This window comes from Homo sapiens, chromosome 3 (genome assembly GCF_000001405.40).
Source record: "Homo sapiens chromosome 3, GRCh38.p14 Primary Assembly".
Lineage (NCBI taxonomy): Eukaryota > Metazoa > Chordata > Mammalia > Primates > Hominidae > Homo > Homo sapiens.
This window is the reverse complement of record NC_000003.12, coordinates 65,404,467-65,420,396: the sequence shown is the minus strand read 5'-3', so window position 1 is coordinate 65,420,396 and position 15,930 is coordinate 65,404,467. Positions and strand designations below refer to the sequence as shown.

Below are 15,930 nucleotides of genomic sequence, written 5' to 3'. Positions count from 1 at the left end.
CTGGCAGTGAGGGGGCTCTTGTAGATTAGAGGTGAAACTTGAGTGACCACAGAGAAGGAAACGGTATTCCAGCAGGAAGGGACAGTTAGTGCAAAGACCCTAAGAAAGAATTGGAACAGAGACCTGTGTGCCTGGAGAAAGGGGAGCAGGGGATGGGGATGGCTGAAGTCAGAGACTGGAGGCCAGGACCTGGAGTTCGAATTCCATTTGCAGTGTGAGGTCCAGATTCACACGGTGAAGGGACAGGCTCTCAGTAACGTGTTCAGATAGTCCCTGTGGCATATATATGAAGAATGTATTTTAGGGGAACAGGAGGGGAAGGGGAGACCTGTGAGGGCTTTTGCAGTAGTTCAAGCAAGAGTGTTAGCAACTTGGACTGTAGGGCAGACAGAGGATCACGGCAGTGGGGGACTTGGGACACCTAAAGAATAGTCAGCAGGACTCCACAGGTTGACTGTAAAGTGGGGGGACACACTTTTTCTATAAAGAGACAAAGGGTAGACATGTTAGGCTTTGTGGGCCCTACAGTCTCTGTCCCCACTACTCTACTCTGCCCTTGTAGCAGGCGATATGTAAAGGAACGGGTTGGTTGTGTTCCAAGAAAACTGTATGTGTCCCATGGGCTGTATTTGCTGACCCCAACTGAAGGAAAGGAAAAGGGAGGGAGCCAAAATGACCCCAGAATTTTTGACCTGGGAGGAATCTTTGCTGAGATGTGGATCCTAGGGTAGAAACAGGTAGGACTTGAGCTGTAAAATCAAGGGTTTCTTCTCACACTTGTTAATTGTGAAAGCCCATTTGACATCCAAATGAAACAGAAATGTAGGCAGTTGTCTGGAATCTGGGGTTTGGTGGTTGTGAGGTTAGGTCAGGAAAAATACGCATTTATGAGCCATTATTGTCTCAATGAGTATTCTATAAACTGTGGGCTGTGACCTATTACTGGGCTGTGAAATCAATGTATTGGGCTACACCCAGTGTTTTTCTTGGAAGTGAAACAGAAAACATTAGAGTGTATCACACTCACTGAAGATAAGTCCTTTTTTATGAAATATTTACTGTGTGTGTATACCCACGCATGCATACATGCATACACACACACACACATTTCATAAAATGGGAAATACAATTTGTAACACATTCATACACTTGTGTGTGTGTGTGTGTGTGTGTGTATGAATGTGTTATAAAATGTATTTCCCATTGTGGAACATAGTCACATAAGTTTGTAAAAGATAGAATCAGAGGTTATTTAGAGCCATGGGGCTGAATGAGATTACTGAGGGAAAGAGCAGGAAGGAGGGAGAAAAAGTGCAAGACAGAACCCTGAGGCACATCACCATTCAAGGGTCAGACTGAGCAGGAGGCCCCAGTAAAGATGGAGCCGCCAGCGCAGATAGAAGAAAGAACAGGAAAGCGTTGTATCACAGAACCCAAGAGAAGACAGTGTCACAAGACCATTGTAGCAGCACTCATGGGTCAAGAGGTGGAGGCCTGCAGGGGTGAAAACACTGCCTGTGGCATAACGTCCCCTGAGGGCAGGACCCATGAAGTGTGGCTACTAATGCAGTCGGGCTGGAGAGGCTGGAGAGGGGAGGAGGTGGGATAGGGATTGGGGTAAGCTGTTCGAGAAGATCTGCTGTGCAGTGGAACAAGTCCTGGAGACGGGTGTGGAGTCAAAGGAGAGGGCTTTGTTTTGTTTTGAAGATGAGAGATACCACAGCGTTCTTGTGTATGGATAGGGATGACTCAAAAGACAGGAAGAAAGTAATGATTGGAGGAGAAAGGAGGATTCATTGCACTCCCTCTTTGCAGGAGTGAAGTATTTAAGAAGGGGAAGAAGATGGGATGCAACATAGGTGAGAAGGGGTAGGCCTTGGGGTTAGTCTGTGTAAACTGTGCAGAAGATGGAACTAGATTTGATCATTCTTTTTCCCTCTAAAAGCAAACTATTGAAATTTCTATTTATTTGAGGCTTTCCTATTTAATTTCATAGTCCTAGTAGTAATAGCCACAAGCCTCTTTCCATTTGACCCATTCTTGTTCTTCATGAAGGACTGAGGATATTGTTTGTGCACAGTTCTGAAATAAGGAGAAAATAGTACTCACAATCTAGTTAGGGAGGCAAGACTAACAAGTGAGCTTTACCGTCAGTAATATGTAGTCTGAGTCTGTGCCATACATATTTGGATAATAGGTGAATGGTGGGGTACGGAGGATGGACAACAGTCTGCTGGAACTGGAGCAGAGTGCCCCAGCCTCCACAGTTTGTCATTTTGGGCCAGACAGTTATCTGTTGCGGGAACTCCTCCTGTGCATTGTAGGATGTTTAACAGCATCCCTGGTCTCTACTGAGTAGGTACCTGTCACATACCTGCCCCCTTTCTCCAACGGTGACAGTCAAAAACATCTCCAGACAATGACAGATGTCCCCTAAGGGGCAAAATCGCCCTCTGCTAAGAACAGCTGGACTAAAGCAGTGCTTTGAAATATAGGAAGGATTTAAAGTTACCAACTGGTCCATGGGCAGTATTTGACATGACTCATCATGTATTTTTTAATCAGTCTTAAAAAAAATATTTTCAGATCTGAATGCATTTAGCTGGAGCCAACAATTCCAGCTTCCCCCTGGCCTGCTGTTTCTTACATCTGTCCTTACTCTTGCCCATTGTGTGCCTGTGGCCCACAAATCACCTGAGTTTGAGACCCAAAGACAGCATACACAAAAACATCAAGAAAGGCAATGATATCATACATGAATGTGCAGGCCTGTTGTGGATCCATTTCCTAGGACTTTCTTTTCACCATCATCTCAAAATCCCAGTAACTGGCAACTTTTCTTTTCTTTTTGGTTTAATTTATGCTTTAAAAAAAAAAAAGAAACCATATATCATCAGACATTTCCCCCCTTAACTTTGGAGTTTGTTTCCTACCCTTACTTTGGTTCCATGTGAAAATTAGTTGATTAGTTGTCAGCAACTTTGGATAATGTTTCCCATTTGAAAAGTCTTTGCTATGAGGAATATTATTATGATTAGCATCCTCCATTATATCAGTCTTTTTTTCCCAACTTTAAGTTCAGGGGTACATGTGCAGGATGTGCAGATTTGTTCCATAGGTAAATGTGTGCCATGGTGGTTTGCTGCAGATCATCCCATCACCTAAGTATTAAGCCTAGCATTCATTAGCTATTCTTCCTGATGCTGTCACTACCCCTGCCGCCCTCCGACAGGCCCCAGTGTGTGCTTGCAGCCTCACTTTGTTGAACTTCTCTTTATTGCAAGAGATATCATCCTACTTCTATCGGAAGCATTTTTCAGTTCTGAGCATTTTCGAAACCGTTATCTGAGACAGAGTTTACCATGTGTAAAATGTTCCCACCTTCCTTCATTTCCCTCAAATGAAATCACACGTTCTTTACCACCATCTGGAGGGAAGTATTTGCCATGGTGCTTACTGAGTCTGTCTTTGCAGTGTCACCTGTAAAGTTAAAACTTCTACCTTACCTGGTATTTCCTTTGTTTGTATTTCTGCTTAAATATTAATCATGTCCCCTATTTGTGAACATAATCCTTTTTGGTTCAAACATCTTGCAGGTAGAATCTTAATGTCTTCAAAAATAGCCTGGAGCCCTTAGGAGTAATATGATTCCACTGGCAACGTGGAAAATGCCCTTTATTGTTTGCCAAGTTGTTACCTGGGCTTATTTCAGACTCTTGTTAATAGTGTTCCTTTTTGCATTTCTAATGTTCTCAACATTTTTGGTTCCTCACCATATGCAATAAGTGTCATTCATTCATTCATTCATTCAACAAACTTTAGCACCGTGCTATTCTCTCATTATAGAGGAGTGCCGTGAAGGAAACATCAAAAATACAGTGTGGTTAATCACAGCTTCCCCATTGTCTCATGCCTAATGCTTTTTCTAGAAATCTCATTTGGTGTATTACCTTTGCCATGAAAAATTCTAATAGACCCTTTTTGTGATCTTTGTATTTGTTGCAAGGTTGTTTAAAGGTCCTTTTCCACTGTGTCATAGAATAGCAGTCATAATAACTATGAAGCTGCAACATGGACCAGCTATGACTTTGTGATGGAGGGAATCCCTTTCTTTCCCTAGCATTGGCTGTTGACTCCACTCATTCAGCAACCTGAGTTTTTAATTAGGCTTTTATTTTTGCAATCGGTATGCAAAAGGGGTCTTGGCATGATGAACCTGTGTAAAAGCTATGTTTTAAAAAGCTTTCTTATAGTTACATAAACATGAATTTGTTTTCAAAAATCGCTTGGAAATAGTTGGAATTAGGTCTACACGCTCTTAGGTATTTTTGTTTTTTCTAAATTTAAAAATGGCTTGCATTCTGTGTAGTTACTTTTGCCATAGAGACCACTTACCAAAATGGCAGATGATTGCATTGAAAAAATAACAGCACTGCCCATGAATTAATGGGATTCTATGTTTATATAGTTTGTCTGCATCTGCAAATCAACTTTCACGTAGACTTTGGTAACTAAAGGAGGAAGAGAAGGCTGTTTTATAACCTAGCACTAGCTGCCGGTAGCACCCCCGTCTCCCCAGTTTTAACAACCAATAATGTCTTCAGACAGGGCCAAATGTCCTTTAAAGAGCAAAATTAGATGTGCTTGAGAACCACTGCTTTAACCCCTTCAACACCCATTTGGTTTTGCTTCTTAGAAACTCTGTGTTCTGTTTGTTTAGGTACAAATGAAATCCACTTCTGGGTTATTTTTTGTTGAATATGGATTGAAGAAATTTTATTGGAGAATTCCCCACTTCTTCTTAGTGTTGCCTCTGCATCTCCTCAGTAACGGAGTGGCAGTGTAGTCAGCTGTGAGGGTCTCCAGCGTGATCTCTGCTGTCACCCAGCAGTGCAGCCTGAGCCAGCCCTGGGCTGTGTCCATGAGCCTCCAGATTATCATCTGAAGTATGGGTAGGACTGCACCCTTCTCAGCACTGTCATGACGATGGAATAAGAAGAGGGCCTGTTACACCTTCAGCGCTGCCCTGTTCTGATGAAGAGTTTCTTATTTTCTGGCCCCTTGCTCTGTCATATTGAATGGAGCTTAAGAGAAAAGAGGTGGAGGAGAGGCTGAAGCAGACCTCCTGTTTTCAGTACCTTTGACTTAGTTGTCTGGAGTAGAGAAAAGGTTAGGGAAGGTGAAAAGGAAGAGCCTGGAAGGAAAGGTGGTAGGAGATGTGTTCCTTTTGGTCTGTGACAGCACGTTCCTTCAGTAAACAATAATGAGAAAAACCAGGATGGAGTAGTAGGTTTTTCATGAAGTGAAGATTTTCCAATATGAAAGATTCTTCTTTATAGGTAATGATGTTCTTCTTCTTCTGTTTTTTTTTTTTTTGTTTTTTTTTTTTTCCCAGGCTGGAGTGCAATGGCATGATCTCGGCTCACCACAACCTCTGCCTCCCGGGTTCAAGCGATTATCTTGCCTCAGCCTCCCGAGTAGCTGGGATTGCAGGCATGCACCACCACACCCGGCTAATTTTGTATTTTTTTTTTTTTTTTTAGTAGAGACGGGGTTTCTCCATGTTGATCTGGCTGGTCAGGTGATCTGCCTGCCTCGGCCTCCCAAGGTACTGGGATTACAGGCGTGAACCACCACACCCAGTGCCTCTTTTTTTTCTTATGAAAAGGTTGTTATCATTTATCTCCTCCTTTTTAATGTTCTTAGTTCACAAAAGAAAGAATTGGCAACTTAGGATCAATTGCTCAGTTCTATGTTTTCAAAATCTGCTGGCTTATGAAATGTAAAATCCAGGAATCACTGCTCTAGGGAAAGGCCCACAGGAGGTTGAGAATAGAACAGGATACGAAAGCAGAGCTGCCGAAGTAATGTGTGAGTGGGGCTCTGGCATCCAAACCTCGGGAAGAGCAAATGGGAGCTCCCCTCTTTCTTTGATCATTGCTTCCCCTAGATCTTCATTCAGGAAGAAAGCGTTCGGATTCAAGGCCGGGGTTATATTCGTCACTCTTATGTAACGCAACATCTATAACATCTATTAGTCACGCCCTTTTATGAAACTCTTTTGTCCTATATAAGTTATCGGGGTAACCCAGAGAAGTGAAATCCAAAAGCAAGACAAAAATGGGGTGAACCGAGCACCTTTAGTGTGCTCGAGGGCACCCCAAAATATCCATAGCTGGTTTCTTGTATGTAAAAAGCAGTCTCAGAAACTTTATGACAGCTTTCAAAAATTCCTTTCAAGTTGTGTTTGCTTGCATTAAGATCACCATCTGCATTGACTCAAAGCCTGATTAGAGCTTCATTTACCAAGAAATAAATAAACAGTAGGAAATAGCCAGAATCAGACAAGAGAGAAAGCAAAAGGATCTTGGCATTTATTTTCCACAGTGAGAAAGTTGTTGACTTGAGTGCTTACTGGGTCAGCATGTATTTCGTTTCCATTGTACTTACTCTTCCCTGCCATAAATGCAATGCTTTGTTACACATCTTGTTCCCAACTAAAATATTTCATTAAACGGCCTCACAGTTCTTGCATTTTCCTGCATCTCCAATGTACTGGACCTATAAAAGTTACTTCTAATTGAGGCTTGTCCTAACTGGGATAGTGTGTGGGTTGGGGTGTATGTGGGTGAAACTGATTCCTGTACTCAGCCTTTAAGCAAATCCAATTGGTACAGTGAGCACTGCCTCACCGAAACCTGAAATCTAATAGCTGAACAAAGCCCAAGCGTCTCCTGCCCTTCATAGCTATATGGGGCAGCAATTCATTAGAAATTGACATAGTCAAGGAAACAGCTTTTTTCCCTCTAAGTCACATAATCACTTAGACCAGTTCAGATACTCTTTCAGCAAGAGGATTTTGAAGACATTTAATATCTCCATGGGAGATGAATGGGGCTGCTCACTGTATGTCCATGCTCTTTGGAAAACCTGACCCCTCAGTAAATGACTTCTTTAGGTCTGACTTGCAGACACTTTGAATAATGCAGTGCGGCAGGACTTGAAGCCCGATCGCCTTGCTGTTGTTAACCATGACCTGTGTTTTCTAAGGCTTATATGATTTCTTAAATTTAAGATATTGGAGTAAAGCTTGATATGGTACCAGGCATGGCCTCTGTTGCAATTAAGCAGTTTGGGAATAAAGCTAATTGAAATTGCCAAACAATGTACCCCCCTCCAGAGCAAGCTGGAAAATTTTCCTATTTTGCAGAAGTATCTTGTGACAAAAAGTGACCATCACATCAATCAGTCTGTTGAAACTGCTCAAGAGATTCATGGATTTGCCCTAAGAAAAGGATCTGAGATTTTTTTTCATCAGCATGTGTTCGCTTTTTGTAGGGAAGAGTGAGGCATTGAGAGGCATTGAACCCAGTGCTGTAATAAAAGTTTGCTTTAGTAAGTAAGGATATGAAGCTATCCTTACCTGAAGATTTAGATCTCAAAGAATCCTTGAGAACATATCCATTTGCTGGAGTGGGGAGCTTATAGGGTTTGGTGTTTCCCTCTGAGCTTTCAGTTTGTTCTGAGACCAAAGCTCATCTGTGGTGATGGGAAGTCAGGACACCAGGTGGCACAGCGGAACCTTGTTCTCTGTGCTGAGTGAGGCAGTTGTGAGTTGAGCCGAACCTGGCAGCTCACCAATAAATCAAGGAACAGACCAAGGATCAAGAGCTGTTAAACAGTCACTGCAGCAATGATGGCTATAAAAAGAAAGGCCAAGCAGCTCCTCCCCTTTGCCTCATCAGCTCTTCCTGCAGCTTTCAAGGTGTAAACTCATTTCATGAGCTCTGCACATTCATACATGCATTTGAGAGATACAGGTGTTTATTGAACTGTTGACCAGATACTGTTCTAGGGATAGACCGATAAAATAGAATAGGTCCCTGAAATAGAGACAATCAATAAGTAAACAATAAACAATATAAATAATAGACAAGTAAACAAGGTCATTTTAGAGAGTGATAGGCTCAATGAAAACAAAGACACTGGGTTGTGTGAATAAAGTGGGTCAGAAAAGGGCCACTTCAGATCTGCTGGTAGCCTGCCTGGATCTCTGGTTGGCTCTCTGAAGGAGTCACCTTTGAGGAGGGTCCTGAGTGAAAGGCAGGAGCCACCCACACATAGATCTGCAGGCATAGAGTTCCAGGCAGAGGGAGCAGCCAGAGAAAATGCCCAGAGAATTGCAAGGAGGCAGTTCCGCAGTGGAGGGTGCCAACCTGGCTGGAGTGTGTGTCCAGGAGGAGGAAGTAAAGAGATAGGAGGGGTCACATCCAGGAGGGCTTAGTGGGACACTGAACAAAGAGTTTGTCTTTAATTGAAATGGTTTTGGGAAGCCATAGGGACATGGAGCCAGGAGACAGTACAATCTGATTTCTGCCGTTTAAAGTTGTCTCTGGCCTCGGTGCGGATAATAAAGAGGATAAACCATAAAGCAGAGACCAGTTTCTGGACTCATGTGGTCATCTAGGCAAGAGAAGGTAGTGGCAGTGGAGATGAACTTGGATGGATTCAGAATGCGTTTGGAGACGGATATGGTGGGAGAGAGAAAAAGAAGCCTCAGGCAGGGTCTTAGGTTTCAGGGGTTTGGTGTCCTATAAGGTTAAAAGCCCGGATATTATTCTGGGTTTCTATCTTGGTCCTGAGCCTAACTTACATTACTAAAAATAAGCAGTTGGGATAAGAAACAACCTAAAAGTCAGCAATGCAAAAGAAAAGGGCCCCAGCGTGTATTTTTTAACCTACAAGCTTCTCAGCACCAATTACAGTGATAGGTTTTCCTTTGGGGCCGGTGACCTTAAAATAAGGGCCCACACAGCATCCTGTTTTTCCAACCCAGAAAAGGAATCCTTATCAGTGTTTTCTTTTGGTGAGCTATTTTGAGCTATTGTTTCATAATCCCCCCGTACATCCTATGTAGTTAAAAATCACCCTCTCAAATTTGTAGGAACTGCATGGGGCTATCAGGCCACCATAGTTTCACCTATCTTAGGGAGACCTCTGTGAATGAGCTGTTGATAAGAGGAATGGGTTACATGGTCAACCCTTAAGTATTTGCATAAAAAGCAATTCAAATTTGAAATATAGGTACTAGAAGCCTCAAGTTGTCGGTATGGTAGTTAAGGAGTCTTCCTTAGAGGTAGAAGCATTTTTAGATGAAGACAAGACCCGACTTCTAAATGCCACAATTACAAATATTTTTAACTTACATAAAGTTAGAGAGCTTTCCTAGAACCATATGAGAAACTAGCTTAATTCTACCCTTAAAAAGTAGATCTTGGTAGGAATATTACCTAGGGTAGAAAGATTGACCTCGTGGTAGGTACATCTTGACAAATTAGTGGTTGTTTTAAGTTAACGGTTCTTTTTCTTTCCTTTCTGGAGAGAAGATGCCATAGTTCACTCCACTTCTGACTCATTCCATATCTTTTCTCTAAGCCCATTAATAAAAAAGAAATTTTGTTATTAGGTAGCGTCAGGAAACATTTGCAAGCTAGAAAAAGCTCCTGCCCACTTTGAAACTGAGTTTTTGTGGCCAGTCAACCTGTTAGTTGTGTAGCTTTAAAGACATGCTTCATTGTCCCAAATCAGAGACTGATCTCGTTGTATTTTTAGCATGTGTAGCCTTGAATGACCAGTGATTTAGGTACTGAGACTTGGAGTAAAATATCAGGGATGTGTTAAGAAATTGATTGACTGTGCATACACTCTTCGGCTATCTGTAGAAAAGAACTGTCTTCCCAAATGCATGTCGCAGTTATGAGCCCTAGATACCTTGACCCCGTTGACCTAGCAGTTGTCAGTGGTAGGTCCATGTATTTCATAAAGCTATATTAAAAATTTTCTGTAAATGCATTTGGTATGTATGAATGGCTATAGGATTAATCTTATCGTAGTAGACTCTAAACCAAAATAATTAAGGAACCTTTGAATGACAGCATATAGTTTAAAAGCACAGGCTTGGTTTTAGACCAAGTATCCCCAGCTATTCACCTGACTGTGTGACATTGGCCATGTTACTTGACCATCAGTGTCTTGGTTTTCTCTTCTGCAGAATGAGAAGATATTAGTACTTAGAGTGCAGGTACGAAGAATAAATTTATGTCAAAGACAGGCTCTGAATACTTTTTAGTTATTTTTGCACTAAGCTTTCAACCTTTAGGCATACTTCACATGTTTTCAAGAGTAGCAACAATAGGATCATCCATATCATTTCAATGACACCTTCTCTGGAGTGACCATTTATTTCTCAGGAATTGCATGGAGACAATTCATCCATCTTACCCAGGTCTTTGAGCAGTCCAAGGTATTTATGACTTTAGGTCTTTCTTACCTGTGCCAGGTCAAGGCTTGTGACTTTGAGGTGAAAGGCTCTGTAAGCCATCAGGAATCACCAGCTTTGCAAGCCATTTATTTCTACTGGGACATATTTATTAGACTATGTGTACTGTGTAATTGAAGCAGACTTCTCTGTAGCTGTAAAACCAGTACAACTATGTTCTTAATCTTCTTCACAAAATGCCAGCTGACACTGCCTTGGGAGCTACTTATTTCAGACATCTGAAGTCCAACTATCTCTCTAAATTATGATGGTCAAAATACTTCATAATGACCATTATTAAGTCCCCAAAGGAAAGAATGTCTTCATCTTTTTGGAGACATTGGGTCTGATACTTATGTTCTTGGCAGCTGGTATCATATTTGTATTGAAAAATTATGCTACGGGGTTATGATGGTATTTAGCCAGAAGAAGGAGAAAAAAAAAATGAAACATGTTCAAACTGGGATCGTTTTTTCATTCCTTTTTATGGATTCAATTTTGTGATATATAGTGTTTATAAAGTCCTTCAGTGAAAATGTACTCTGGTTTCAGCTTGGCCTTGAGTTTATGCTGGTACACTGATTTAGCTAAAACAAAACAACAACAAGAAAAGCTTATCATCATTATTCACTCAAGCATCAATCATTGCATGTGCTTCCACCCACTCCCCCACCCCACGATTAAATGCTAGCCATTCTTCACTTCAGCTCCTCCCTCTGCCCCCTTCTTCATATCGGATTAGATTTCTCTTCCCTGTATTCCTGAAAGCAACAGTGCTCCCTTCTCTCCTGGCATGTAACACTTACCACTGTGAATTATAAAACGGTTGCTTTGCTTTTTCTCTTTTAAAATAGACTATGAGCTCCTCCAGGGCAGGGGCCATGTCTGATTTACTTTTATCTCTTAGTGATGCTTTGCTAGGCATATGGCAGAGCTCAATAAATCTTGTATGAATGAATGGTCTCATGACTGGTTCCTTCTCATACTTCAGCTCTTAGCTCAAATACGGTCTCTTCAAGAAAGGCTTGCATGATCACCCAACATAAAGTAGTTGTGCATCCCCGGCACAGCCTGTTCCATTGTCCTGCGTCATTTTCATCACAGAAGTTACCACTCTCTGAAATTGTTTGCTAAGTTGTTTATTCTGTCTCCCCACAGAATGTGAGCGCTGTGAAAGCAGGACCCTGTAGGTCTTGCCCATTGCTTTATTTCATGCCAGTTCCTAGGCTGTCAGCACAGTTTGGTTACATGAGTGAGTGAATTTTCCCTGTTTTCCTTCCTACCCTCAGTGGAAACTGTGAAGGCTGAATGTACCTTTTCCTGTTTTCTGGACTGTCGTTAGCTTTTTATTGGTACAGAGAGAACAGTTTAAATTTATTTCATGGCTTATATATTCTCTATTAAACAAAGAAAACAAAAAACTGGTTGGCAGGAAATGATGCAGATGGCTTTTTTTTAGAAGGGTTGCCGGCCATTGATGTTCATTGTTTAGAACCACTGGATTGCAGTCAAATAATCATCAATTCTGATTGGCTGGGGAAGTCTCAGATTGTTCTCAATTTGTCTTTCCTGCACCCCATTGTGACTTTGCCTCGATAATCTCTTACTGTTTTGACTCATCAACCTACTACCCCCAACAAATAAAAGCATGGCCTAGGAGGCACATTCCTTTTACCAGGGAGCAGCACTTTTGCTGAAAATTACCTGTGTTCTTTAATACAGTTCCTCTCCTCATAATTTTTTCAGATGTGTCTTTTAAATCTTTCCAAGAAAGAAGGCGAAGTAAGCAATGCAAGTTTTACCTTTCTGTTTGATCCTTCCCATTGGCCCCTCTACTTATATGCTGCTCTTACTGAAAATAAAAGCTAAGCTAAAGTAAATCTCACCCTAGGAATTGCTTCTAATGCTATAGCCATATACTTGGACAAGGATGATTTAACTTAAGGACTATAGGCCCCAATAGAGTGGGTTTCTGAGGGTCACTAGTGAAGGTTTCAAAGACTCCCTGAAATTATATGCAAAATTATGTGCTTCTGTGCAGCTTTGCTTGAGAGGGGCTATAACAGCTTTGTGTCACATTTTTCAATCAAGGCCATGACCCAGTAATTTAGGAGCATAAACACTTGAGTAGAATGGTAGTAAGTCATTGAGCCAAAGGAGAGATAGAACAAACTCCAGTTGTTTTTTAATCTAGCACTGCGCTAAGGCCAGTATGTGCCATTGTCCAGGCATGCTACATATTGGCTGCAGTACTGATCCTGTTGATGATTATTGCCACATTATGTGTAAAATCCAGCAATCTTTGAAAATACTGAAAATAAGAATATGAATTACTTATTAATCCTAGTGTTTAGAAAAATATTTTAGTGCATTTCCTTTAGTCTTTGGGTATATGATGTGTGTGAATATATATGTATATCCACTTTTTAACAATGAGTTTATATATTCTATGCACAGTTTTTACCCTGCTGTTCATGTCTTATATCATTATTATTTCCCCCAATCACTGAATATTCTTTGTTGTGCTCATTTTTAATGGTTTCATAATTTTTCATCGTATTGATATAACACATCTCTCTACTCAGTCCTCCGCTCTTGGAAGTTCAGATTGTTTCCTTTTTTTTTTTTTTTTGAGACGGAGTCTCACTCTGTCGCCCAAGCTGGAGTGCAGTGGTGTGATCTTGGCTCACTGCAGCCTCCGCCTCCCAGGTTCAAGTGATTCTCCTGTCTCAGCCTCCCGAGTAGCTGGGATTACAGGTACCTGCCACCACACCCAGCTAATTTTTGTATTTTTAGTAGAGATAGGGTTTCGCCATGTTGGCCAGGCTGGTCTCAAACTCTTGACCTCAGGTGATCCACTTGCCTCAGCCTCCCAAAGTGCTGGGATTACAGGAATGAGCCTCCGCGCCCTGCCTGTTTCCATTTTTTATCATCTTAAAATAGTGCTGTGTCGACCATCTTTTTATAGGAATTTTTGCAAGACTGATTATTTCCTTAATACAAACTCCTAATGATCAGTTTACTGAGTTAAAATTAATTGTAAATTTAAAGTCCTACATTTAGAATTATGCATTGATAGGTTTTCGAATAACAGAGAAGGCTCATGTGGTCTGAGATTGTGCTCAGAAGTACTTTTATCTTCTTTGGTATCTAAGACCAGCCCTTGACCAAGACCTCACAGTCATTTTCTTTCAGTGGCTTTCAGTGGTCCCTGATGACTCCCTCTCTAGCTCCTACTCTCTCTGTCTCTCTCCCCCTCGATATATATATATAGAGAGAGAGAGATCTATAACTGTGTGTGTATGTGTGTATACATATATATACACACACACAGTTCCCTGCCCCTTGCACACTGTATTACCTAATCCAACTCCAGGACAGTTTTTCAGTTTTTATTGCAACATTTGCCTTGCGAAACTGTAAGGTATCCCATGTGTTCAGTGACATGTGGATTAGTGACACAGCATTTGTTGGAATGCTTAGGAGGAAAGCAAAATGTTTCCACTAAAATGCTGAAGTCGGGAGACCCAAATGCAGAGGGGAATGAATATCACAATGAAAAAATGTAAATTGATGACAAAAATAGTACATTTTTCTTATGCGTAGATCCATTTTGTATGTGACAGACACTTTAGGATTCACCCTTTCAAAGCCTCTTTGTGCAGTTTTTCTTGATTCATTCAGTTAGTGAGGTTGGTTGGCATTCCCACTTCCTTTAAACCTGGAGGAAATTAGGTCCAGAGAGGTCCACTCTCTTTCCCAGCAACTCAGGTTTTGTTTGTCTCAGTGCTGAAATGGCAATGCTCGGCTTCTGCTTGGTTTCCCCAACAGCCCAGCTGAGCTCTCCTACTTCTTCCGTATTTACATTTAATCAGTAGGACAAGCACAGGTCCTAATCTATGAGGGTTCTTTAATAAAACTATATGTATGCATTCATTTTGGGGAAAAGTAAGCAACTCTTGGAGGATATAGAGATCAATGATGCTCAAGGGATTTTAAAATGCAACAAAATGTTCTGAAATATGCTGCATTTATCTTAAAAAGCAGTATAGAGGCCGGGCGTGGCGGCTCACGCCTGTAATCCCAGCACTTTGGGAGGCTGAGGTGGGTGGATCATGAGGTCAGGAGTTCGAGAGCAGCCTTACCAACATGGTGAAACCCCATCTCTACTAAAAATAGAAAAACTAGCCAGGCGTGGTGACGTGCATCTGTAATCCCAGCACGTTGGGAGGCTGAGGTGGGTGGATCATGAGGTCAGGAGTTTGAGAGCAGCCTTACCAACATGGTGAAACCCCGTCTCTACTAAAAATACAAAAATTAGCCAGGCATGGTGACGTGCACCTGTAATCCCAGCTACTCAGGAGGCTGAGGCAGGAGAATTGCTTGAACCCGGGAGGCGGAGGTTGCAGTGAGGCAAGATCACACCATTGTACTCCAGCCTGGGCAACAGAAGGAGACTCTGTCCAAAAAAAAAAAGAAGCAGTATAGAGTTTTGTTTATTGTGGTATCTGTGGATATGTATGTGTGTATTTATAAATAAATAAAGCTTTTCTTGATGTAGAGATACTAAAAATAGTTAATAAAGCCACGCATAATCCCATGAGCCAAAGAAAATACTGTTTTCGCACATAACCTTCTAGCCTTTCTTTGCAAAATGGTATGTATTCTGTTACAGCTTTACTTTTTTCATATAAATTATTTGTGTACAAGCATTATAAAATTTCACCAACTATGACATTCTGCCATTTAGTTATAGTTTATGGCCTTGATATTTAGAGGAAAACAGATTTCTCCTCCTTACATTAGTTGGTCAGGTCCCAGTCACTAGCAAAGAATTTGCCATTCGTTTTTTCCAAAATGACACCATTTTAATAGAGAACTTTAGATACTCAAGTCCCAAGCTTTTCTCGCTCCTGCAGATCACACTTTGAACATACACTTCCCTGGAATAGTTTTCTGGGATCCCTTAGAAGTAATATTTGCTGCCTTCTAAGGCCCTAAGAGCGGATGCTGCCATCCATAAACTCTTTCTTCTGCCTCTTCTGAGAGTTCCCCTTCCTTACCCTGAATGGACCAGACAAGCCCATTAAGACAGGTGCCGTATGCCTTATATGTATGCCTTATATGTGATATGTGACATGATTTGTAGAACACAGACTTCCTGCTGCCACAAGGCATACAAAGTGTTTGCTTGTCTAGGGAAGACCACTGGTATGCCATGAAGTATGGGATGATGTTGCTTCCTATGGCCTGGCTGGTAGGGATATGTCTGCAGTTAACCAGTTACATACTCGCTATCTCCTTTGATAGGTCTTGGAGCATTCTGTCTTGGCAAGCAGTGACCTTTTGAGTCTTTTCTGTTAGGTCTCCCAGCTGTTTTCAATCCATCTGAATAGTTTGGGCTAAAATAAATTATAAACTAGTAAGGTTTTTCCAGCATTCATATGTATTAGATTTTAAGATTTAATGACCATGTGGGCCTAAAACAAATCTTTGAGTTCTTTTTTTAAAAAGCAATCAAGTGGAGTCTCTTGATTTTGACTATTTAAATATTAATTTGTGGTCGTAACCTGCTTTTGGGCTGCTGTAAAAGGTGTGGCTTTTTAAAATGA

The 15,930-nt window shown here is 41.3% G+C and overlaps 1 protein-coding gene across 6 annotated transcripts in view, besides 1 other annotated feature; it reads left to right on the top strand.

Moving 5' to 3' along the window:
• MAGI1 (membrane associated guanylate kinase, WW and PDZ domain containing 1) overlaps positions 1–15,930 on the top strand; it is a 685,393-nt gene that overhangs the window by 618,522 nt on the left and 50,941 nt on the right. The window lies entirely within an intron of this gene.
• Positions 11,572–12,111: an enhancer, noted in NCBI's record as "OCT4-NANOG hESC enhancer chr3:65393961-65394500 (GRCh37/hg19 assembly coordinates)". NCBI's record gives its function as "activates a minimal SCP1, AML or CMV promoter by ChIP-STARR-seq in naive H9 embryonic stem cells {active_cell/tissue: H9 hESC(naive)}" and the evidence as "EXISTENCE:reporter gene assay evidence [ECO:0000049][PMID:30033119]".